We start from the raw sequence: 24,140 nt of genomic DNA on the forward strand, positions 1-24,140 counted from the left end.
GTCTATCACCTCAGGCCAGCAATGGGATGTAGGCGTGGAGAACGCCACAGAGGCAGGGCCAGCCCCAGATGTCTTTATAGGAGGGAAAAGGACACACAGAAAAAGCAGGCCCCAGCCATGTTGCGGCTCTCACCAGCACAGTGATCCCTTGCTCTTTGCACAGCATGGCCACTGCTCCCAGAAAGATACTCAGCAGCACCCAGAAGGTGGAAGAATGCGCTCCCTCCTTGTTACCTGCCAATTAAGAGAAATGATCAGTGCAAAAGTCATGGAATGCAGCTCAGTTTTTTAGCATCAGGAACTAAAATTCTAAGCAAATACCTTAAACAACCATAACTTAAAAACAGGGTTTGGGCTTCAGACAGCACTTCTCTGTGGGCAAGAGTGCATTAGACAACACCTTCTAAATGGTACCTATGTCCCCACTCAAGGCTCTCCTGAGAACGTGCCCAGGGCCTTTGGGAGGCACTGTCATGAAGCCCTGGCCACAAAGACGTCTCATGCCAGAGTCCCCACGCAGCAGGTACCTTCTTCCCAACCTACCAGTCACCTGCTAGACCATTCTGACGAGTCTTTTTGAGAACTCTCACTGAGACTGCAAACAGTCCATCTGGTTTCAAGATGACCCCAATGGTCACTGCTGCTGCCATGATGGAGCTGCTGGGAATGCCTCTGAGAATCTCCACTACTCCTGGAATAGGAGTTTGGGCCCTGTGGACACCAGGTGGCTTAGGATGGGTCTGCTCTGCTCCCTGTGTGGAACAGCTCCAACCCCTACCAAAGGATACACAGCTACTGACAGAGCTGGCACCTACCTAGCACCTGGGGCAGGTAAAGACATGGACCAGGCTGGGCTGCCAATCTGCATGGGGGCTCGAGCACCAACAAGAAGCCAAAACATCCCCAGACGTGTGAACACTGTAAGAAGCTCAGGTGGGTGGCAGCTCCAGTAACCACCACTGGTCCCTAAGTGGCCTTCTGCGAGCAGGGTCTGGCTGTACACTATCTCGTCGGTGGTGCGTGCAATTTGGGGGCCAGAACTAAACTACTAGGGAGGAGAGGGAAGCTGCATGGATACTCCTCTCCGTTGTGAAGTCCCCACTCTTCATCTAAATGAATAAGCCAACATATAAAAAAGAGATCGGTATCAAGTGGGACAAAAGCGAACCTTCTTGGAGAATCCAATTGTTAGCTCGCCTGGCATTACTCGGTTCAATTCCACTTACACCTGGAACTCCCGGTCTGAATGCCTATGGCTCTATGTAAGCATCTGAATGCCAGCTCTGCCACTCACTGCGTGACACTGAGCAAGTGACTTTCACGGTCTCAAGGAACTCACCTATAACGTGGGGGCAACGTTACCGACCTCAGGATATATTCGAAAGGAAAAAATTACATAGGAACACCTGGCCATTTGTGAGAAAAACTCATAAAGAATGCTTGCAAATGCAAAATATATCTCTATGACAACACATAAGAAATTGACTAGTTTCTGAGAAGTTCTAAAATGAAGAATTGGGGTAGAGGAGGGAGAAAGTCTTACTTTTAATCTTACTTTTCATTACATAACCTTCAGTACTCTTTACATTATTTTAACCATGTGTGTATATTAAAAGACTATGTTAAAAACTAAGCATGTTAAAAATCACTTGGTATAATGCTGGGACTACAGAAATCATTTAATTAATGTTTGTGGTACTTGGGTCAGCCAAACCTGGTCAGCTTAGAGGGGGATGGAATTTCCAATGGGGCTTTGATGCAGTAGTCAAGTGGGTGGCTGATCAGCCACTGTGCCACAAAATGTGCCAGACAACTGGATAGTGTAACAAATACACCGTGACTCTCATTAAACTGCCTGCTGGGGAAATTAACAAGTGTTTGTGTGTGTCCTGCAGACCCTGCAAGGAGGGATAGAAAAATACTTGTGAATACTTGAGATAGAATCAGCAACACCCCAGGATGGAAGGCCTTCCTGTCCTGAAAACAGCCAGTGCGTTCTGGCCTGGGGGTGGGAGGCGCTCTTTTTTTTTTTTTTTTTTTCTTTTTGAGACAGAGTCTCACTCTGTCGCCCAGGCTGGAGTGCAGTGGCACGATCTCGGGTCACTGCAAGTTCCGCCTCCTGGGTTCACCATTCTCCTGCCTCAGGCTCCCGAGTAGCTGGGACTACAGGCGCCCGCCACCATGCCCAGCTAATTTTTTGTATTTTTAGTAGAGACGGGGTTTCACCGTGTTAGCCAGGATGGTCTCCATCTCCTGACCTCATGATCCGCCTACCTTGGCCTCCCAAAGTGCTGGGATTACAGGCGTGAGTTATTGCGCCCGGCCGGGAGGCGCTCTTCACCTCAAATGCTCTACAATGGGGTTGAGACCCTGTCAAGATGAGAAGGCCTGTCCCCAGCTGGGCCCCTGGCTCTCAATGAACCATGAGCAGGACTAACTCCTGATGTGCCCAACACTAGCAGCTTGCAGCTATACAGCTGGGCTGCTAGGACAGCCTCCTCACTCCCACACAGTCTCCAGCAGCAGCAGAAAGTCTGGCCCTTTCAGCTTTTTGGGGGGAGAATCTCTGCGTATCAAATTTCTAGATTTAAAATACAAACAAATGGAATAGCTATTATACAAAAAGTTGACTTGACTTGGCTATTATAGCTGAGGCACTTTAAAGCTTTTCACAAGGCCAGCTGATCGACAGGAAAGCCTCATTAACTGAGATCCCATTGTCTCATAAAACACAACGAACATACTTTTTTTTTTTGAGATGGAGTATCGCTCTGTCACCCAGGCTAGAGTGCAATGGTGCGATCTCGGCTCACTGCAACCTCCGCCTCCCGGGTTCAAGAAACTCTCCTGCCTCAGCCTCCTGAGTAGCTGGGACTACAGATGCACGCTACCACGCCCAGCTAATTTTTGTATTTTTAGTAGAGACGGGGTTCACCATGTTGGCCAGTCTGGTCCTGAACTCCTGACCTTGTGATCCACCCGCCTCGGCCTCCCAAAGTGCTGGGATTACAGGCGTGAGCCACTGCACCCGGCCTGAACATTCTTGTTTTATGCCTTCTAATTATCTCTTTTGCCTTCAGGATAATGGTTCCTCTTCTGACCGTGGCTTTAAAGGCCTTGCTGAAGTGGCCACCGCGAACCCTCTCCAGCCCCTCCCAGCATACACTCACTCCAGGCCCACCACCACTGCCCACTTGCAGGTTCTCACCTGGGTGTGCTTACTGAGTTCCCTTGGGGCAGAACAGTCCTGGCAGAATCCTACCCAATCAATAAAGCTGTTAAATGTCACTTATGCTGTGAAAAGCCAAACCCCACCCTCTCAGGCAGGTCTCTCTGCAATTCACTTGTTTCCTTCCACAGTTAAGAGAGCAAACACCCCTGCTGTATGCACACCTGACTGCCCCTGTGAGCAGGTGAGCCCTCTGTGAGCAGGTAAGCCCGGTTCACCTCTCCATGTCCCTGACTGCCCCTGTGAGCAGGTGAGCCCCGTGCACCTCTCCATGTCCCTGACTGCCCCTGTGAGCAGGTGAGCCCCGTGCACCGCTCCAAGTCCCTGACTGCCGCTGTGAGGTGAGCCTTGTTCACTGACTGCCCCCGTAGATTAGGTTAGGCCCAGCTGTAGTGCTCTAAACTGCCCTGATCACAGTCTATCACAATATTCCTCACAGAGTTTATCACAAGCACTTGATTTTCTGTCATTCCCGAGTCGAGGGTCTGTCCACCTCGGCACTCATCACATGTGGGCTACTTACTTTTTTTGGAGGGGGGTTGCCCTGTGAATCACAGAATGTTTAGCAGTACCCTCAGCTTCTACTCATCAGAGGCCAGTAGCACCACCCCCTACCGCTCCCCTCAGTGGTGACAATCAAAAATGTCACAGATATTGCCGGATGTCAGTAGGGGCGTGGGGAGGGTAGGAAATCACTCCCACTTGAGAACCATTGCCCTAAACCAGTGCCACTCACGGGTGTGTGGTCCATGAACCTGCACCTGGATCTTATTAGACTCAGGCCCCACTGAGATCTGATGAATCAGAAATTGAGGATGGGAACCAGTAATCGGCCTTTAACAAGCTTTCCAGGTGGCTCTGATGCTCCCTAAAGGCAGGGTGCACCCTCTTGAGAGTAAGCCTGTTCACGGCTGGACGGCTGGCACCATGCCTGGCTCATAGGAGCAACTAAAAATTGTTCTGACTAAATCAGCAGGCCCGACTGACGCTGGAAGGGCAGTATATGTTCAGTGAGTGAAGTGACTATCTACTCTCTATCAAAAGGGGTGCAATAAGCTTTGTGCTCCCGACAAATCATGGAACCGCAGGTGTCAACACTGCTTCTTAGAGGCTGTGCATCATCTCTCCTGCAAGGATGGAAATGCTGGAATCCCTTCCAAGATGCTTCCAGCAGGGGGCCACCTGGCCTCGACTTGAGTAACTTCACTGGTGGGGATTAATTTTCAAACCACAGCCCGTTTCATTAAACTCTGGGTTGTTAGATTATTCTAAATGCTGAGCCCAAGCCTGTCTCCCTAAACTTCAGGTCTTAGCTGTGCCCTTGGGCAGCGATCCTCCAAGTTGTTCAGGAGGCATGGAGCCCGGAAGTCAGGCTTCCTCTACTGAATACCATTACACAACAGTATGCTTAGATCCATCAAGCAAACTAAGGATCATTTTACTTGCAGAAATTAATTACTTTCTATGTATCTAATGTCAAAAGATCACAATAAGGAGCCACAACAACAACAAAACCCTGTTAAATTACACATAATTCCAATTTGAGCACTTAACGTATTTATTGTTTCATGTGGGCATTTGCTAGCACTCATCAGCAGATAAGTATTGGCAGGCACTAAAGCTCTAAAAAAAATTATGGCCGAAATAACCCTAAACTAACAGATTGATGAATTCTTTTAGGCTATGGTTTGGGGAAAGGGACACAAGCTTTAGCGAGAGAGCACAGCGTCCAGCTTACAAGTCCATGCCAGAGCCTCGGAGAAGTCCGGGCCTTCCGCCACGTCATGAGAGATGGGTGGCTTTGTCCACTCAGTCTCGGTACAGCCTCTCTTCCCGTGACACATGTTCCTGAGTCTGGGTCAAACTACCTTTAGGATTTTCTCCTATTAGCAGTTTATTTGTAAACAAAACCTTTAATTATAAACGACCTGATTAATTACCATGGGATCTCATCCAGAGATAAACAGAGCAAGAGACCCCTGGCCCCTGCCGGCCACTCTAGACCCAGCACGAGGAGATGGTGCCATGGCCGGGCTCCATCCATTGTTTTCAAGTTGACCAGGCGCTCAGCTCCATAGCTCACTAGAAACCAAATGGACACCCTCCACCCCACCCCATCCCATCCCACCAAACTGTTACCTGAATTTGTTTTTTGTAGGCTTCTTTCACTCTCAGAATTTGTGTTGGTACTTCTCAACTAAACATAATACATTCCCCAATGTAACAGTCTCTGTTCTTAATTTCAAAAGCAAGTTCCTTGATTTTACATTTCTGCCTAGAAAAACGGAATTATCTTGTATTTTTACTTGACTGTAACATGGATTAATTTTCCCCCATGGACTTTGAAAAGAAAAATATTCCTAGTTCCTTCATTAAAAATGCCCAAAAGACAGCTCTTGAAAGCACTCTATTAACACAAAGCTAAATTATGACACAGACACGAAAGTGATGGGCTCCTCTAGAATTCCTCTAGATAAGAATTCTAGATAGTCCTCTTATCTGGAATTTAAAATGGCTTTCTCCTTACAAGGTTAAACCAGAGACTTAATTGAAAACAGAAAAATAACAACTAGAAAACACAGCCTTCAGGTTTACTGACAACCTTCTCCCTAATTTCACCTCATAATTTCACCACACTCTCAAACTCTAAACTCCACCTCTCCCATCCTCTATTGCAATTCTGACAGAAGAGTCCTACTCTTTTTCCTTAGACTTCCGATTTTGCTTCAAACACACCCAGCATGAAAAGATATGAAAGATGAAGGTAATGTTTCTTTGCTGAAGAAGTGTCTTCAGTCTCAGCAATTATTAAATATTAAGTATTACTTCTCAAAACTGTGGCAATTTCAGATCAAAGGCAAGGGCTCAATGGTCAGAGATAAACCTAGTGAGCACTACATTCTAGACCCACCACTCTCCAAGAAAGTAATCATTACAGCTAATGAGTGCTTGAAATGTATCTAGTCCCAGGTGGGATGTGTTGTTAGTGTGGAATACAAAACCGATTTTGGAAGCTTAGTATGAAAAAAAAAATGTGAACATTTTCATATTTTTATATTGATTATATGTTGGAATTATAATTTTGATATATCAAGGCAAATAAAATATATTATTAAAATCCATCTCATCTGTTTCTTTTTATAACGCGGCTACTTCAAAGTTTTCAATGCCACATATGGCTCCTGTGGTATTTCGATTGCATGGCAGTGTCTAGACCATGTGATCAAAGACCCAGCTCACAGATGACATAATGTGCACATTGCTATGTTTGTATCCAGCTCTGTCCTTGAAAACTCAGAAAATAGGAAATGAGTTTGCCTATTTAAAGCCAACTCTTTCTCCAATCCCTACCGGATTAGTCACTCAACAATTTTTGGTATATTTTTGTTTTGAGACAAGGTCTCATTCTTTTGCCCAGGCTGGAGTACAGTAGCATGATCATGACTTACTGGAGCCTTGACCTCCCAGGCTCAAGCAATCCTCCGGCCTCAGCCTCCCGAATAGCTGGGACCACAGGCACATGCCACCAGGCCTGGCTAATTTTTAAAAATTTTTATTTTTGTCGAGAAAGGGGGTCTCACTATATTGCCCAAGCTGGTCTCAAACTCTTGTGCTCAAGTGATCCTCCCGCCTTGACCTCCCCAACTGCTGGGATTACAGGTGTGAGCCACTGTGCCCAGCTGCCACTCAATATTTTATCCAGTCATAAGACTAAGCATGCACACACACTTTGAGTTTCCCAGAATCTAAACTGGAAAGCTTAATTTAATATTTTAAAACCATTTCATATAAATGAAAGGAGTCCTCTTTATATATATGCAGTATATATGTGCATGAATGATAAACCAAGGCCAGCCCATACAGCGTTGACAAAATGCTTCCAGTTCTGGAGGTGAACAAAAAAGGCCTTACAAAAATTCAAGTGAAAAACTAGCTCTGAGTGTTTAGATGGCCCAGACTAGTGGACTTCTGGAAATATGACCTGCTCCATCAAACTTCTGCCCACATAATTCCCCAAATTAAGATTTATTTTAAGCCTTAGTTTGTGAAGGTGACTAATGCTAATAATTATCAACATATAATCTAGAGGAATTTAGACTCTGTGCTTTTGTGGCTATGTTCTTATACAGTAACAAATGCAAACCATTATTTTATTTCCAAGTGTGAGCATTTTAATAAGACAATTGAGACAGGTAATAGTAGGCCACTTTGCATATAGTGGGCACTCGATAAACATCTGTTGAATCAATAAATAGTTTCATTTATTTCTATGTCTATCAGAGTCTTACTATATTACATTTTTCTTGCAATTATGAGATGTAATTTAATACCCAAAAGTTAATCATTTGCTCAGTGTGGACAAATACTGCCAGAATTCAGGTCTTTTTCACTTTTAATTTAATCTTTGAACCCCTTCACACTGGAAGAATCGCCATCATTAAGATATTCTTCTTCAAAATAAATAAATAAATAAATAAATAAATAAATAAAAATTACTTAATATTTAAAAACTATGGAGAAGATCAATATTTTCATTTTAAATTTAGAAGTAACTGTTAAAAACAGTACAAATAAATTCTGAGTGGCAGATGTCACCTCCAACACAGCTGCACTTATAAATATTTTTATTCAGAAAAATCTTCCCCAGATTTAAAATTCTAACTTGTGCATGGCTCTATGTAAGCATCTGAGGACATCACTCTTCCCCAGCATTCTCCATCTCCTCTCCATCAAGACTGTTACATTTTAAATACCAATGACCCAGGAGAGGATGGGAAAAAAAAAAACAAAAACCATTTGGACACCATGCTGCCTCTCTCATCTTTTAAGAAGACAACTTGCTCTAGGATAATTATGCAGCATTAGCAAACATCAATAGTTTACGATCCAGAATTGACCAGAGACATGCCTAGGCAATGTTCTTCTCGTTTCAGTATATTGTCTCTAGCATCTAAGAGAATTCACTCACTTAGGTAAATGGAGGCAAAGGCTAATGGAGTGAAGGGGGCACAGGGAAAAAAATGCAATGACAGAAAGACACTTGTCAGTGCTAACACCCACAAGTGCCAGCAGATGTGATCCATTTAATGAAGCACGTGCCTCGGATTTGGCACTCCTTTCCAGTGGGAAGATCTCCTTTCAGAAAAAGCATCACGTTGTACAAGTTACCCCTCTTCACCACTCTATGCCTGGCATCTCCACCGCTCAAAACTGGCACGTCATGTTGTGTGTGGGAACCACGCCACCCCGACAGGTGGCCGCGACTCTCTCTCTGCCAGAGCAACACAATGAGCATCAGATTCGCGTTCCAAAAGCTGGAACGACCAAGCCGTGCTTCTATGCACAGAATGAAAGAAGTCAGGCTTGCTGGTCTAAAACACGGGTCCATTTGGGGGAAAATCAAGCAATGAAGCAACCAAAGAAACAGGGAAAAGAGAATCTGCATGACTCCCACCGTCAGAATGCAGTCAGCAATGGCCCCAAATTGAAAACCAAGCGTCCTATCGGACATGAGTTAGCCAACTGCCCTATTTTATAAGCAGTGTGATTCTAAGTCAAAGAAAAACAGGTGTCTTTAATCAGAATGAAAATATGAGGCAATGATATCCCAAGAGCAAGATTTATCCCATTTTAGTGCCTGAACTATACAGCTTAAGGTGAACTATACAGCTATAGAACTACACAGCTTAAGGGGAGCTATATAGCTTAAGAACAATGGAGATTTGAGATCCTGCCTTTGATATTATGAGTAAGAATTTAGAACTTAAAATGGTTGTTCTAGGTATATAGAAAATCCATCCCCCTCTGGAAAAGACTCTCTTCTCCCCACTATAAATGAGAATAAATTTCTTCTTTTGGTCTTAACTCCCATGAGACAAGTATTTTAAGGTATCAGTTTAGAAACGAAATTGTTTTGGCTATTCTAGCAAGTTTAATGTGCAGAGATGATCTGTTTCCAATCTGAAATACCAGGCTTTAAGAGAGATGTAAATACAAGATGCCTCATTGTAAGAATAACACTTTTTGTTTTGGGCATTCAGAAGTAATACCCAGTGTGCCATTGATTTCATCTCACTAGTGTTTTTTGTTTGTTTGTTTTTTTAAAGAAAATGTATGCTTCCTTTATGAGGACATCTACTTTTAAAAAATTCTGTTGCAAAGATCTTGCTAGATGTTCTATTTATGCACCAAAAAAAAAAAAAAAAAAAAAAAAAGGCAGAGCCCCAGAAATGTTATGTGAGTACATTTTTCATTTTCTGAAAATACTAGGATTCCAGAGGTTAGGACAGAATAAACTCAAGCAGTTAAAAATCGTCCAGAGCTTTATAATAAAGACGTCCCATCCATAAAAAAAGTTAATGATGTTACCAAAAAAAGTATTCTCTGAAAGAATTTATTAACTAGTTGAATCATTAATTTCAGAGTACTTAATTTTTTGTTCCCTTATAATATTAAACTTGTTCCTCTGATATTAGGCCTTTCTTTGAATTTATGTTCAGATCCCAAAAGTACAAAGACCAGGGTTACGTTAAACCTGAAATTTAAACATTAAATAGCATTACTATTTGTATCTCAATAAAAAATGACTTGTCTACCACCGAAGAGTTAGTTTTTATTCTCTGCTGAACATTTATAGACATGGGCACTTGGAACAAGAAATCATCACTGCAGTGACAATAAATACATGTGTTTACCACTCAGCTTTTTGTACAATTTGTACTGACTACATAGGGTAAAATAAAAACATGGCTGGAGGCTGAGACAGGAGAATCACTTGAACCTGGGAGGTGGAGGTTGCAGTGAGCCAAGATCGTGCCACTGCATTCCAGCCTGGGTGACAAGAGCAAAACTCCGTCTCAAACAACAACAACAAACAAACAAAAAAACCAGTGCTGGGCACGGTGGCTCAGCCTGTAATCCCAGCACTTTGGGAGGCCGAGGTGGGCAGATCACTTGAGGTCAGGAGTTCAAGACCAGCCTGGCCAATGTGGCGAAACCCCGTCTCTACTAAAAACACAAAAACTAGCTGGGCGTGGTGGTGGGTGACTGTAGTCCCAGCTACTTGGGAGGCTGAGGCAGGAGAATCACTTGAACCTGGGAGGCAGAGGTTGCAGTGAGCTGAGATTGTACCACTGCACTCCAGCCTGGGCAACAGAGCAAGACTTGGTCTCGAAATAAATAAATAAATAAACATGCGACTGTTTAAGATATCTCAAACACCAAATGAACAAAGCTCTTGATCCAAATGAAAATATATATATATACACCTGAATTTTCATTAGGATCAAGAGCTCTGTTTTGTTGTACTGAAGGAAATTTAATAGAAGATGAAGGAAGTAAGTAGAACAAAGGCCATGGCCTCCCACTCTGCATAAACACAGCATGAAAAGAAAGGATCCTTACTGAGTGCCTGCTATGAGGGGTACAGGAAGGAAAAAGTCAACAGGAAAGGAAGGAGAACCAGAATATTCTGCTCTGTAGGCATTCTGAATCATGGAAGCTTTATTTTAATCAAAATATACTGGAGTTACGGTAAGCCCCTCAGGGGCATGAACTTTGTTGTTCTAGTCTTTGTATCCCCAGCACCGGAAACCTGACCTGGTACAAGAAACGCCCTTAAAGTTTGATTAACTATTGGTGATGGAATGAATGACTAAAATCAATAAGCCTTTATACTATTTTAGAACAGAATCAGAAACCCATGGCTTTTCATGAACACCTTAACCGGAATTATTTTTGCATATGGGGCTCTTACTGCTTCTTCTCTGTAAAGGTATTATTAATTTGCAGCAAGTTTTCTCCTCCTAAAAAAGACTCTTAAGTACCCTACGAACTGAACTGATCATTAACATGATGATGTTCAAGGATTATTCCAAAGAGTTGTAATCTATCAACAAAGAAGCACATTCTATTCTTCGCATGTTTAAAAAGGAGTATGGAAAATCAGAAACAGAAAAGTCGCTAAGAACAGTGCCTCTGCTAAGAGACTAGGAGAGGCTCCAGCAGACTTCACTAGCCCCGGTTCTGGGGTTGCTCAGACAAAGGGAATTTTGGGAGTTGTGAGGAGGAGGGGAGAGATGGGCTGGCAGCGTGAGGGGCTGTTCTGATGTCGCCGGGCCAGGGAACGAGGTGGACGGGGATAGGCATCCAGTCCTGAGGTCCTGAAGTGACAGAGGGTGGGTCTCAGGGTACAGCACCTTGTTGGGGAGGGGTCAGAGACCTGTTCACATGTGGGACACAGGGGACTCCCCCAAGTAAGCTGGTCACAGTGTGTCTAAGGCCCTCTCTCAAGAATCCACGTGGCTCTGCGCCTCCAGGCCTGTGATGGAATTGAGGCAGAATTCAATCATTCTGTCGGAAATCTGGAAGCGATGAGTGGGAATGGAAAATAGCAGTGAAAGCCAATTCCAAATGATGGGAACTGCAGCTCGAGGATGGGTGTTTTAAACCCTCCGCTTTACACTGCCGAGAAAAACTGTGATGATCCATAACTCAAAGCCTGCCAGGGCAGGTGGACACCATGAGGGGACAGGAAGGACACAAAATGCACGCCCAACAATCAGTTTCAGGGTCAAGACACCAAAGCCTGGATGAGCAGAAGATGCAAACTACTGTAGTTTTGTATTTTCCAAAGACCAAAGAGGCTGTTGGTGCCTGCAAAGGCCCAGAGACCACTCTGGTGGTGACTCCATCGGCTCCATTTAAATGAACGCTTTCCTTTTCCTCAAGAGGGTTCATGTTAACAAGAGAACAGATCCCACGAAGACGGGGCAGCTTGTAGACAAGAGGTCAACAGAAAGCATTCTTCAAAGGCTTCCCAGTCCACCTATCTGTCTTTTAACTGCCCCAAGTAACTTCAACCAAGTCAAAATCTAGTCATCTTAAAAAGCTTTCTATGGAAGCCACATCTACCACTGCTATCGGTTTGCAAATGCAAAAATGCCCAGGTTAACATTCTCAAAAACATCTACAAATTTAACATTAAAGGCCTCATAATTTCTTTCCAATTTTAAAATAAACATTACAAATGCTAAAAGAATGTTACCGGACAAAAAAGAAAGGTCATGTTGGTACTTACAGTTAATATATTTATGTCAGTATTGAAATATACTTTGCCTATTTCTCATGAGTCAAAGTGTTAATAATGGAACAGCCATCACACATTTAAGTACCTTTAACTTTGGTGTTGGTTTCTTGCCAAAAGCTTTATTTAAAAAGTATCTTTTGTATGGATATTTGGAAATAATTTTATAATTTACAAATGCATCAAAAATATATATGTAATATATATTAATATACAAATTTGTGAATTAAAACAGAAAAAAGAAGAGTAAAAGGTTCCAGAAAAAGAATATAAAATGTCTAGCCTTTTCACTTTTCTGTGAGAATACACCATTAAAGGAGGCCAATACATGTATCTGTTCACTCGATGGAAGAGTGTTTAGTATCATAATAGCTTTTTCATTATTTCACAAGAGCAATCTTTAGAAGTAGTGACAGGTTCTATCATATCTCCTAAATGATGTCCCCCACATGTTAAATCTATCAAGGTTTAGTACTTTCCTCAAAAATCACTCTGATGTCTTTGAAATCCATTCAGAACAAGGAGTAGTGACTTTAAGGGAGGATAAGTTAAAATTATGTTAACATCAATAAAATGGCACTTTCAGAAACTTTAGAGTTGTCTTTGAGAAAAGCCACAACGCCTATTTTTTTTTTTTTTTTTTTTTGTGAGACGGAGTGTCACTCTGTCACCCAGGCTGGAGTGCAGTGGCGCAATCTCGGCTCACTGCAGCCTCCGCCTCCCGGGTTCAAACGATTCTCCTGCCTCAGCCTCCCGAGTAGCTGGGACTACAGGCACACGCCACCACACCTGGCTAATTTTTGTACTTTTAGTAGAGATGAGGGTTTCACTATGTTGGCTATGCTGGTCTCGAACTCCTGACCTCAAGTGATCTGCTCACCTCAGCCTCCCAAAGTGCTGGGATTACAGGCGTAAGCCACCGCACCAGGCCCACAACTCCTAATTTTAAATTTTCTTCAGGAAAAATATGATTTCTGATAAACTGTTATCTGTATCTGTAAATTCAGATTTAATTGCCAACTTTTGAAAAGGAAGAACCATTATCTGTAGTGAACGTTAACAGTGAGGTAGTGAAGGGACCCCTCCCTCCCAGTCCTGTTACTGATTCACTGTCTCATGAAGAGTCACACGATTCATTATGGGGCCGGCCAATTCAACCTCGCCAGGTCTCTGGCGGCTGTGTCTCTTGGGAGATTTGTAATCATCATAGGTGGGGAGACCCTTACCCCAGGAAGAGACTGCAGTGCATTATTGCTAAGTTACAGGAAGAAAAGTTACCACCACTGTTCTCAATACTTGAAGGTGTTCTGCTCAGCTGTCCCCAAACTCTCTAATGTATCAGAAAACCGATGAGCGATGGGAAGAAGTGGTGGTTTTATCCAGGCTTGATAAGGTAATAATAATAAAAGGGGGTGGGAGTGGTTGGGTGTAACCATGCCCTGAGTGGGCACTGGCACAGGCTAGGGCCACTGGGTCACCTTTCTGCTGTGCCTTAGGGCAGTTGCAGGTGCTCCAAGACAGGGCCTGAGCCTGGGTTCAGTCTGGACAGGATGGGATGAAGGAGGGACAGTGTATGAAAAATCTCCCTGGCTCTTTCCAAGCCACCTTTGGAAGCTATGAAAGGATAGCTGGGCAATAAATACCTAGAACATCAAAACAGGACAGCCTGTCCTGGAATCATTCGCAATCCTATAATTTTGCAGGAAATAAAATGGCAAAACTCAATCCTGCTGCTGCTTCTGTTCTTGGTCTCAATACCTAATAGGATAGGCCACAGTGTGAACACCAGTGTCAGAGCTTTGCATTACGGAAAAAGCAATGGCACAAATAGACATACATATCTAAAGAGAGTTTATGCATCCTCTGGCCCAGATCCCCTCAGAGTGACACACTCACATAGATGGATTCTTTCCCGTATGTTAAGACACTGCTCAACAGGACAAAAACATGAAGAAGGTGGAAAATTAAGAAGGCAAACAGAATGCTTACTTTCTCTAAATGCTTTACAGTAGCCAAGGAAAGATAACAAGAAGAACAGGGCACACAGGAGGTCTGCACGGCCGACAACACCAGCAACCTTAAAAAAGGGGGAAGAAAACAAAGAATTACATAAAACACATTTAAGGAAATCCTAAACTTAGGAGACATAACTTTTTTTTTTTTTTTTTTGCGACAGGGTCTCACTCTGCCACCCAGGCTGGAGTGCAGCAGTGTGATCTTGGCTCACTGTAGCCTCAACCCCCCTGGGCTCAAGCAATTCTCCCATCTCAGCCTCCTGAATAGCTGGGAGCAGAGGCGCACACCACCACAGCTGGTTAATGTTTGTATTTTTTGTAGAGACGGGGTTTCACCATGTTGCCCAGGCTGGTCTTGAACTCCTGGGCTCAAGTGATCCACCCACCTCTGCTTCTCAAAGTGGTGGGATTACAGGTGTGAGCCACCGTGCCTAGCCAAAACCAAATTCTTTAGACATATAAAACAAGAAACTTCCTAGACTCTGCCACCTATTAAAATAAATACATGATGTAGCTGTGCAATAGTGCTTGGTGTTATCTTACAATCAGTTCTCTCCTCCCTTTTGGGTGTAGGACTTGACTTAACTGCTTCAAGAGAACACTGGATTGGTTTGAACCTGCTGCTAGCTATTCTGCTGGACACAGACGGCGATATGCACGTGCCATAAAAACTGTGTTCTTTAACACACGATACCCAAGAGCTCCAAAGACTTAGTCTTCTGAGGTCACAAAGTGGATTTTCAATTGGAAAATGTTATCAGCTCAAAGGTCATGATATTTAAAAAATAAAATGTGATTGGAAACATGAAGGACATAAAGGTGTGAGAGAAGTGTGAAAAGCCGTCCTGCCGATAGAAAAAGACACAGGAGTAATCCTTCAAAGCTGCCTCTGCTCTTTTTTCTTCCCTTCAGACCAAACTGATTAAGTGGGTTAACCTGGAAAGCTGAATGCTTCAAGAGTGATTAACAACTAGGATGAGAACAGAATACAATTTCTGCCATTTCTTTCCCACATTTTCCACATGGTGACTCTGCCCTTCCTTTCCTCAGTAAGAATGAAGCAATATCAACTATGTGTTTCTTTCTTCAGGCTGATTATTCCAGTAATTGTTCTCCCAATGTTGTACGTGATGAAAGACACAGAATTCCCCCCAGGGGTACTGGACTAGTTTAGGTGGGATTCGTTACTAACTGGCACCTGAATGTGACATGAACCAAAGCTTCTGCTGTGATTGTCCAGGTATCGCTTTAAAGGCTGGTAGGTTAATCCCTTCCCAAAGGATGGGGATGTGATATATGAGCTGCAGAATAAAGGACTCTTCTATAAATCAAGATAAGAAAATATACACTGACTACGAAATTACTATATTTACATATGATTCTCAAGTTCATGTGCAGTCAATAGCTGAAACAGGATGTCTTTTAGGAGCAGATTCCCCTACATCGGTTATACACGAAATGCCGAGGACCATTCGTCACTGTAACTGTGACCTCCTGATGGTTGGTACGTGGCAGCCCGTGGTGTCAGGTGATGGCTGGGAAAATTGAATAAGCTGATAAATCCACCCAGTGAACACCACACACACACAAACACTACCGAGAAGGAAGCCAGGGACAAAACAAAGGCTTAACAGATCTGGAACAAGTATGCCAGTATGCTGGAGGGGAACAATCCAATTGCTTTATGAATGAAATGAATATGCAATGAGCGCTCTGGAATACTCAGGGCTGGAAACTCACTCCATCAGGGACACAGTAAAATAGTCAGAGATGCAGCCACACAGAACAGAGCCTGGTACAGGGTGGGTGCAGCTGACTATGAGTTCCCTGGTGGGTCCTATGGGGTATGTCTATGAACAGGAGTAGCAGAAAGGCAAAGGACAGAGGACGCAGAAGCTCAGGTATCATCTCTGCAGCCCCGGGTGAGTGAGGAGGCAGCTGGTGCATCCTGGCTTTGTGGTCCTCACGCCAGGAGGACATGAGAGGAGACAGGAGCATCTCAGAGCTGTGACTATCTACAGCACCTCAGGATGGACTGGAATCCCAACCCTTTAGAGAAGAGAAAGCAATAAAAGCCAATCCAGACAAGCCTGTCCGAAGGGGACCACAGAGAACAGGGTCACAGGAAACAGGGGGAGCAGGTGTCAGAGACCAAGGGGAAGTGAGGTGAATGAGGGGGAAGGAAGTGGTTTGGAAAAATACTAGGCCTAGAGGCCAGGAGGGCCAGGCTGCCTAAACCACTTGCTATCTGGGTGGCTAGTGTAGATTTGAAGAATCACCAAAAATGAAATTTAAACATCAAAAGCTTATTTTTACAGAAATGTTTCTTTCTGCTAATTGCTGAAGACCATCCCACGACTTTGAGCAATGTACATTATGTTCCTTGACATAAAGAAAAACAAAATTTTTAAAGTATGGGAAGTGTTTTAAAGCAAAAGAGCATTTAGTATTTACAATGAATTTTTTTGGCATAGTAATTAAGAGAGATTTCACTAAAAGAATGTTAAAAAACTACCCAAGGAGAGGGACTGTATCCAATCACTGTTTGAGAATGTACATAAGCAAGAAAACATTTTCTTTTCCTTTTCTGATATTTGCATAATATGTATTTTTAGGCAAACTTTTCTACAAAGGCTATTTTTTTTCTCACAAATACTGTGAAACACTCAGAGTTTTCTGGAGAAATCACTGCAATCCCTCTGAATCCTTAAAGCAGGCGGCACCATTGTTTCCCCAGTAGGTACAATTTGCATGGGGGCCATGAAAAGGAATTAGGGGGATGGGGAAGGTTTCCCCTCCCGATTCCTTCTGGGTTAACGTCTGGGTTCATTAGACAGACAGAACTCTTTTTAAACATTTTGTTTAATTTTTTACTTCTAGAGACAGGGTCTCACTCTGTTTTCCAGGCTGGAGTGCACTGGCGTGATCATAGCTCACTGCAGCCTCAAACTCCTGGGCTTGGGCAGTCCTCCTGCCTCAGCTTCCCAAGTAGCTGGGACTCCAGGCATGCGCCACCACACCTGGCTACAGGCAGAACTCTTAAGGGGGCCTGAGCTTCTCTCCTTGATGTTGGAATTCAGACAAAGTGAAATCTTCCCCAACACTTTGAGGAAAACAAAAAGGAAAGCCCACACAAGCCACTTCTGTCCTCAGGGAAGCGCTGGGGTCCTCCTGCTAATGGCCACACAGAGCTGAAGAGCCACCAGCAGACCAGGGGCTGTGTGGCCCTCCCAGGCTCTCCTCCTTGCAGTAGGGACTGGCCTGTCAGAGGGTTTGGGTGTCTACAAACCACTTGAAGCAATGTGCGGTGGTTCATTAGAAAAACAGAGACATTCCATGAGTTGAGGAGCACAAAACACCGACTGCAATTACAGCATTACCAAGCAGAGGCCAGGAGGGGGCAAGACTGTGAGGTGCCCAAGTCATCCCCATTTGCCCGGCTGTCGTTGCTTTAAAATGGAAAATCCCCAGTCCCAGAACCCTCTCAATCTCAGGCACACTAGATGGCTGATCACCCTAGAAGACTGGAAAATTCAGGTGCTTATTTGCAGTGGGAAAAATCATTTTCAGTGTGAAATGCTGGAGAGTGGTAAAGACCTAAAACATATTAATATAAATGTTAATATAAAGAAATTCATGTTAGGCCAGGTGCAGTGGCTCACACCTGTAATCCCAGCACTTTGGGAGGCTGAGGCAGGTGGATCACTTGGGGCCAAGAGTTCGACACCAGCCTGTCCATCATGGTGAAACCCCATCTCTACTAAAAATACAAAAATTAACCGGATGTGGTGGTGCACGCCTGTAGTCCTAGCTACTTGGGAGGCAGAGGTAGGAGAATCACTTGAACCTGGGAGGTGGGGGTTGCAGTGAGCCAAGATTGTGCCACCGCACTCCAGCCCAGGTGACAGAGTGAGACTGTGTATCAAAAAAAAAAAAAAAAAAGAAAAGAAAAAAAAAGAAATTCATGTCACTAAAACTGCAGGAGCCTATACTGCTATTACTGTCTCCTAATAAATGTACACTGAGACAAATGGGGTAAACTGAGGCAGTTTACTAACCAAATCCCCATTGTCCTCATCTCACAGGGATCTATGTGGCTGGGGCTGCTGTGCCCAAGGCCAGCATTCAGGCCGCTGGCCCAGCCAGCCAGAAAGTGGGGCTGGCTCCTCGGTGTTGGTCAACACCTGGGAGGAGCTCGCCTGCCACCCATTTCCTTGGGTGTTCCACTCTTTGTATGTTTTTAAAGCTGGATTTTTTTTTTTTTTTTGACAGAGTCTTGCTCTGTCACCCAGGCTGGAGTGCAGTGGCATGGTCTTGGTTCACTGCAGCCTCTGCCTCCTGGGTTCGAGTGATTCTCCTGCCTCACCCTCCTGAGTAGCTGGGACTACAGGGGCATACCACCATGCCCGGCTCATTTTTGTATTTTTAGTAGAGACGGTTTTTCGCCATGTTGGCCAGGCTGGTTTGGAACTCCTGACCTCAAGTGATCCACCTGCTTCGGCCTCCCGAAGTGCTGTGATTACGGGTGTGAGCCACTGCGCCTGGCCTAAAGCTGGAATTTTTAACTGCAGGGTAGGAGATAACAGGGGAATGCAGACAGAAGGAAACTGAATACTATCTGCAGAAACGCTGAAAGGTAAATGTACAAAATATCTGTCTTACAATGCTAACTCTTAATTATCCACAAGTATTTCTTCAAATCTGAGTTTGAATGGATGTCATGGTGGGGAGGGGAAGAGAGAAAGAGGTTTTTCAAATGCTCCCTTTTCTCCTAGAGCTAGTCTGCCTCAGTTTCCTTTTAACCATCTGGAATGTGGACTTTCAAGATTACCATGTTCCCAGGTTGCATTTACCTGGAATGTGCGTGTGTGTGAGAGAGAATGTGTGCGTGTGAGTGTGTACGTGTGTGTAAGCACATTCAGTTATACCTGTTGGCACTTGAAACCTTTTTATAAATCAACTTCTGAATATTTAAAATGAGAATTTTAGAAAACTTTCCTTGGCTAATAATTCAAGTATTTCATTTTGCTTTTAAGATCACGCTAAATTAGACGAGAAGGAAGACAGAATCAGTACTTCTCCAGTGAATCCCTCTCTTCCAGTCCCTTATTCAGGATCAATGGCTGCACTATATCTGGGTCCCAGAGAGAACTCAGATCGAAACAAAGTCTAATTCGGTCACAGTTATATATAAAGAGCTTATAACTAAATTTTTACACAGCAGTCCCCAGCCTATTCAGCCCTTAATGTTCTCTGAATTTGCTGAGGTAAAAAACAAAGATTTAAAAAGATATCAGGAGGAGGGTGTGATAACAACTCCACAACACTCTTGATACTGAAGAATAGACAATTTACTAAAGTCAGATGCTAAAAACAGGACGTCTGCTCAGCATCTTGAAACTTCAAGAAGCAACATGCAATTGGTTAAATGTAGATATTTCAATCCCTAAGAAACGAGAAGTCTACTGTGAGGGAAGTAATAAAGTGTATGTGATTATTTTAGGCACTTCGTGCTCACAGAATGAATGACTCCAGTCAAATCTTGTCCCTCAGCAAACATGCTGCCTTTTGCATTTTCAAAGGGTCCACATGGTGGTGCAGGGGGCGGTTCCTGACAACTTCACAAATGCCTAGTGAAATCCCAGCACAGCCTATTCCAAACACACAGAGGCAGCGCGATGGGATGGAGATGCAGCCTCCAGGCCTCCACTGAGGATATGCTGATGTATTTGGTGTTGAACTGGAAAGCGGTGCCCGTACCCTGCTGGGGAGCTGCTGGTGAAGTCTCTCCACCCTCCTCCACCTCACCCTGTGTGATCCTCTCCCCCAGGTGATCAGGGTGAGGTGGAGGAGGGTGGAGAGACTTCACCAGCAGCTCCCCAGCAGAGTGCAGGCACCGCTTTCCAGTTCAATACCAAGTACATCAGCATCTCCTCAGTGGAGGCCTGGGAAGCCCAGAATTTAAGTCCTGCCCGACATCCACTTGCTCCTCACCCTGGATAAATTTTTATCCTGCCAGGCCATTCCCTCATCCCTAAAGTGGAACTGTTGTACTAGCCCCGCTGATGTCACAGCGTTTTCATAACAAGCATGTTAAGTCTAAGAAAGGATTTTATAAATCACAAAGCTGTCAGCGAACACAGAAACACTGCATCAGACCCTCCACTGAAGAACAGTTCTTAGCCTCTGAACTTTAGACCCCGAAGTCCAACAATATTTAACATCCGTGCCTTCACAGCTGGTGTTATGCTAGAAGCTAAACAGAAAGTGTCACCAGAGATCACACCACACCTTATCACGCAGTCCCCACCGACATGGTGCTCTGCATTTTTTTTTCACAAGAGATGTCTCTGCCCCAGACAGAATTGTTTCAAATGTCTGGCAGAGTATTTATGTAGTGTCCTTTCTATTTCTAGAGTATGTTGTGGAGTAGACTTTCTCCAGCTCTGGAACCAAGATGGGTACATAAAGGGAGCCTGTTTTAGGAAACCAGGCGACATGGGGGTGTCATATCGCTTCTCACGTGCATACAGATGCCTCGGGCAGACGACACTTACACACTCGGTGTGCACAGGATGGACAGCAAACAGCAGCGCGGCCAGCAGGGACGCCCTGGGGGCGAGGTGCAGCCTCCGGCCTTTACTGGTGTACTGCAGGCCGCCAAACAGAACCGAGAAGACGTCCACCATGAGGACAGAGATGCCACTGTGCAGGAGGATGTTGACCACGTGAAAGCCCACGGGGTGGAAGCCTCCCGAGAGGTAGTAGTTAATCCTGCAGAAACACAGGGTGTTCAGGGTACACGCGCAGCGGCATGCGGCAAGAAATGGCAAAGGTCTGGAGGAGAAGGCTTGTGTGTGGAAATATTAAAAGGAGAAGCGGAAGACTTTGTGCCAGCTTGATAAAAACAGCATCAAGATAAATAATGCCTGTCGAGCTAAGAAGGTTGTGGAAAAGGTGGGAATGTAATTAACTACAGGGAAAAACGGATGAAACATATGTGTCCAAGGGGAGTGGCGCTGAAGCAACTTGCAGAGGAAAATCGAAAGGAAAGCTAGACGATGTTTTAAGTGCAGAAGGGGCAAGGCTGCAATCCAAGAAGATATAATATTCCACACACTACTCATGGTTACCCCCTAGGGACCTGGATTTAAGACAGTCTTATAACTTGCTTATCCTCCAAAAAAGGGCTCCTCATCAGTATGCCCACCAGCCTTCCCCCAACGAAACACCCTCCGCTGGCAGGGATTCCTATTCTGACTGCTTCTCAGCTGCTGGTGGTTCCAATTCATCACTCCCATGCTCCTGTGGGACGTCTACTCACAAGTGTTTAAATGCACCCGAGGAGCAGGTATGGACGAGAACCTTTGTGAGGTAAATGCATCTATTAAGTGCAAGTGGCTCCCTGATTAACGGAGGGGGGATTGTTTTTAAGCAGCATATTGCTTTTGCATATTGACTTGGTAACAGTAGGAAGATTTATACCTTATTTATTTCTGTAGTGAAAAAAATCAGTTTCATCAGAGGCCCCATGATGCTTTCACTCATATTATTCCATTGGTGTTAACCAGCAAAGGGTCAAACCTCCAAGAACTGAGAAAAATATGAAACACCACCAATGTGCACGTCATCCTTCACAGGGGCCACGCTGGCCTTCTCTGCACCTAGAGACCCATGTATATGAGCAGCTCAGACCCCACCTGGAGCCACTGACTAGACTCCTGAATGCTGAGAACCTGGTGACACACACCTGTATCCAATGTCACACACAAGCTGGGAGGGACCTTCCCAGGCCCTTCAATGTCACAGCTTACCTGAAAGTCAGGACGGTGAGAGGCCGGTAGGACTTGTGGCTGGTGTTGCTGCTCAGTCTACTGCCCCAGAAGTCATGATGCCACAGGTCCCCCAGGGGCGTTTCTGCTTGGAGGTCCTGCAGGGTCACAAAGGGGATGTTCTGGACAAGGGTCTCCCATCAGCCCTAAGCCAAGCTCCTCCATCTCTCACCTGGGATGCAGTCAGGCCTCCTAGCGGGGATGCTGTGCCCAACATGTTCTCTATGTTGATATCTCGAAATACACATGGGCTCACCCCACCAGGCTTCAAACACCGATCAGCTTTCACCCTCCTGGGACATAGCTGATATGCTGAAGGGGCTGTTGCAGACCCTGGCTTCCCCCGAACTCTGCAGGCCCATAGCTCTGGTGCTGTGCTTCTGCCAGCTCCCAACCCAGGGGCTCTGCACGTGCGGGTCACCCCTGGACAGTCACCCTCAACTCTTCATGGCTCAACTCCTTCCGCCATTCATCTCCCAGCTGCCTGGCTCTGCCCTTCCTGAGCTGATCCCATCCCTCTTCCATAGGCCTCTGGACATCTCACCCTGTCAAGCAATGTGTGGCACCCTGGCAACTTACAGTCACATGACTATTTTTCTGTGCCACTAGACTGGGCTCCATGAGGACTGGGCCACATCTGGGTTTGCTGGCTGTATACAGAAGGTGCTTAATACGTGTCAAATAAGTGGACCACACAGCTAAATAAGATCACTATTAACCTCTCACATCTATTAAATAAGGTAACTTACCAAAATGTCCCAGTTAAGTATGGATAAACATATTTTTTTAAGTTTCCATTTTTGATCATGAGCTAAGCAGACTATGAAATCAGAAAAAAAACCTTAATTTTTCCAGACAAAAGTCACTAAATATTAAAAAAAACACTGTACCGCTCTTACTGCTGAGATAATTTGGTACTATACTACAGATGTTTAAAAATGCATTGTTTTACATTCAAAAGATGAAAGTAGATGGCTTAAATTGTGTCTAATGAGAAGAGAGGCAAACAAGGCACTGTGGTGGAGTAAGTAAGAAAAATGACAGATTAACTTTCTCTTTAGAGCATAATTAAACAGGAGTGTTTTAGGGACTAGAAATTACAACATGCTGATCACTTCCCCGGGTTGTCCATCAAGATTCTTCATCGCAGTAACCAAACTCTGATTAATTTAAACAAAAAGGGAATTCTTCAAAGGGGAGTTTGCAGCTCACAGACCCTCCTGTGGCCTGGAAAGCCAGGGCAGGGCCACGTGGCAGGAGCAAAACCACAAATCATGCGCCGGGCACCTGGCAGAGACTGCCTGGCTGCCTCTGGGCCCCCACCTCGCGTGACCAGTTCCTGATTCCAACAGGTGGGCGCACCTGATGGGACAGCCCGTCTGTACCAGCTCCCTAATCAAATCATCTTCTGAGCACCTAAGAATGCCCCAAACAGAAATGGGTCAAATGATGGGTGGCCCCAAAGAGCAACAAAGGTCCACAGCCACCATGCGACTTAGCACCTGCGACTTAAGTGCTTGCTGACTCAAAGGGAAAGGCTTGAAAAGAGGTGACAGATGCAAAGCTGGTCACTGATGTCCACTGTTAAGGGTGACATTTGCTTCCATGGGCATCGGCTTCAGAAGCCAGGAGCACACTGACCACTCCCCAAGAGCAGGTTAGAGATTCTGTGAAGGTCATGTGAGGCACCTGCTCCCTTCGTTGACTCAGTGACAAGCCTGGAAGCCTACCTTCTTCTACACTCTTACAGAAGTACCCGGTCAGCTGTGAAGGGCTTCGGCAGAGGATCTTTTCCTCCCTTTGAACAGGAAATGAACACCAACGAGGTTCTAAATATTTGATTAAGTGGAGCCTCCACAGCAGGGTGTGCTACAGAAAGAAAGGTCAATTCTTCCTCATAATGATTTATGGAAAAGATGTATTGTGTCTAAAATTCCCCCTAACTCCACTGTCTCAAAGAAGATCATCATCTCAAGGAA

General features: G+C 44.7%; 1 protein-coding gene across 12 annotated transcripts in view, besides 1 other annotated feature; it reads right to left on the bottom strand.

Moving 5' to 3' along the window:
* TMTC4 (transmembrane O-mannosyltransferase targeting cadherins 4) overlaps positions 1-24,140 on the bottom strand; it is a 71,451-nt gene that overhangs the window by 38,453 nt on the left and 8,858 nt on the right. For 11 of the 12 annotated variants that reach the window (NR_146794.2, XM_047430706.1, XM_011521122.4 and 8 more), the window contains 4 exons: positions 22,144-22,259; positions 20,887-21,103; positions 14,304-14,391; positions 134-234 (listed from right to left, as the gene is read on the bottom strand). Coding sequence is in view for 11 of the 12 variants with exons in the window: in XM_047430706.1 (XP_047286662.1) it covers positions 134-234; positions 14,304-14,391; positions 20,887-21,103; positions 22,144-22,259 (522 nt within the window). In the remaining variant the exon portion in view is untranslated. The remainder of the gene's footprint in view (positions 1-133; positions 235-14,303; positions 14,392-20,886; positions 21,104-22,143; positions 22,260-24,140) is intronic. The other variant, NM_001286453.3, reaches the window with a different exon arrangement.
* Positions 16,950-17,453: an enhancer, noted in NCBI's record as "H3K27ac-H3K4me1 hESC enhancer chr13:101311281-101311784 (GRCh37/hg19 assembly coordinates)". NCBI's record gives its function as "activates a minimal SCP1, AML or CMV promoter by ChIP-STARR-seq in primed H9 embryonic stem cells {active_cell/tissue: H9 hESC(primed)}" and the evidence as "EXISTENCE:reporter gene assay evidence [ECO:0000049][PMID:30033119]".

The sequence above is a fragment of the Homo sapiens genome, chromosome 13 (assembly GCF_000001405.40).
Source record: "Homo sapiens chromosome 13, GRCh38.p14 Primary Assembly".
Lineage (NCBI taxonomy): Eukaryota > Metazoa > Chordata > Mammalia > Primates > Hominidae > Homo > Homo sapiens.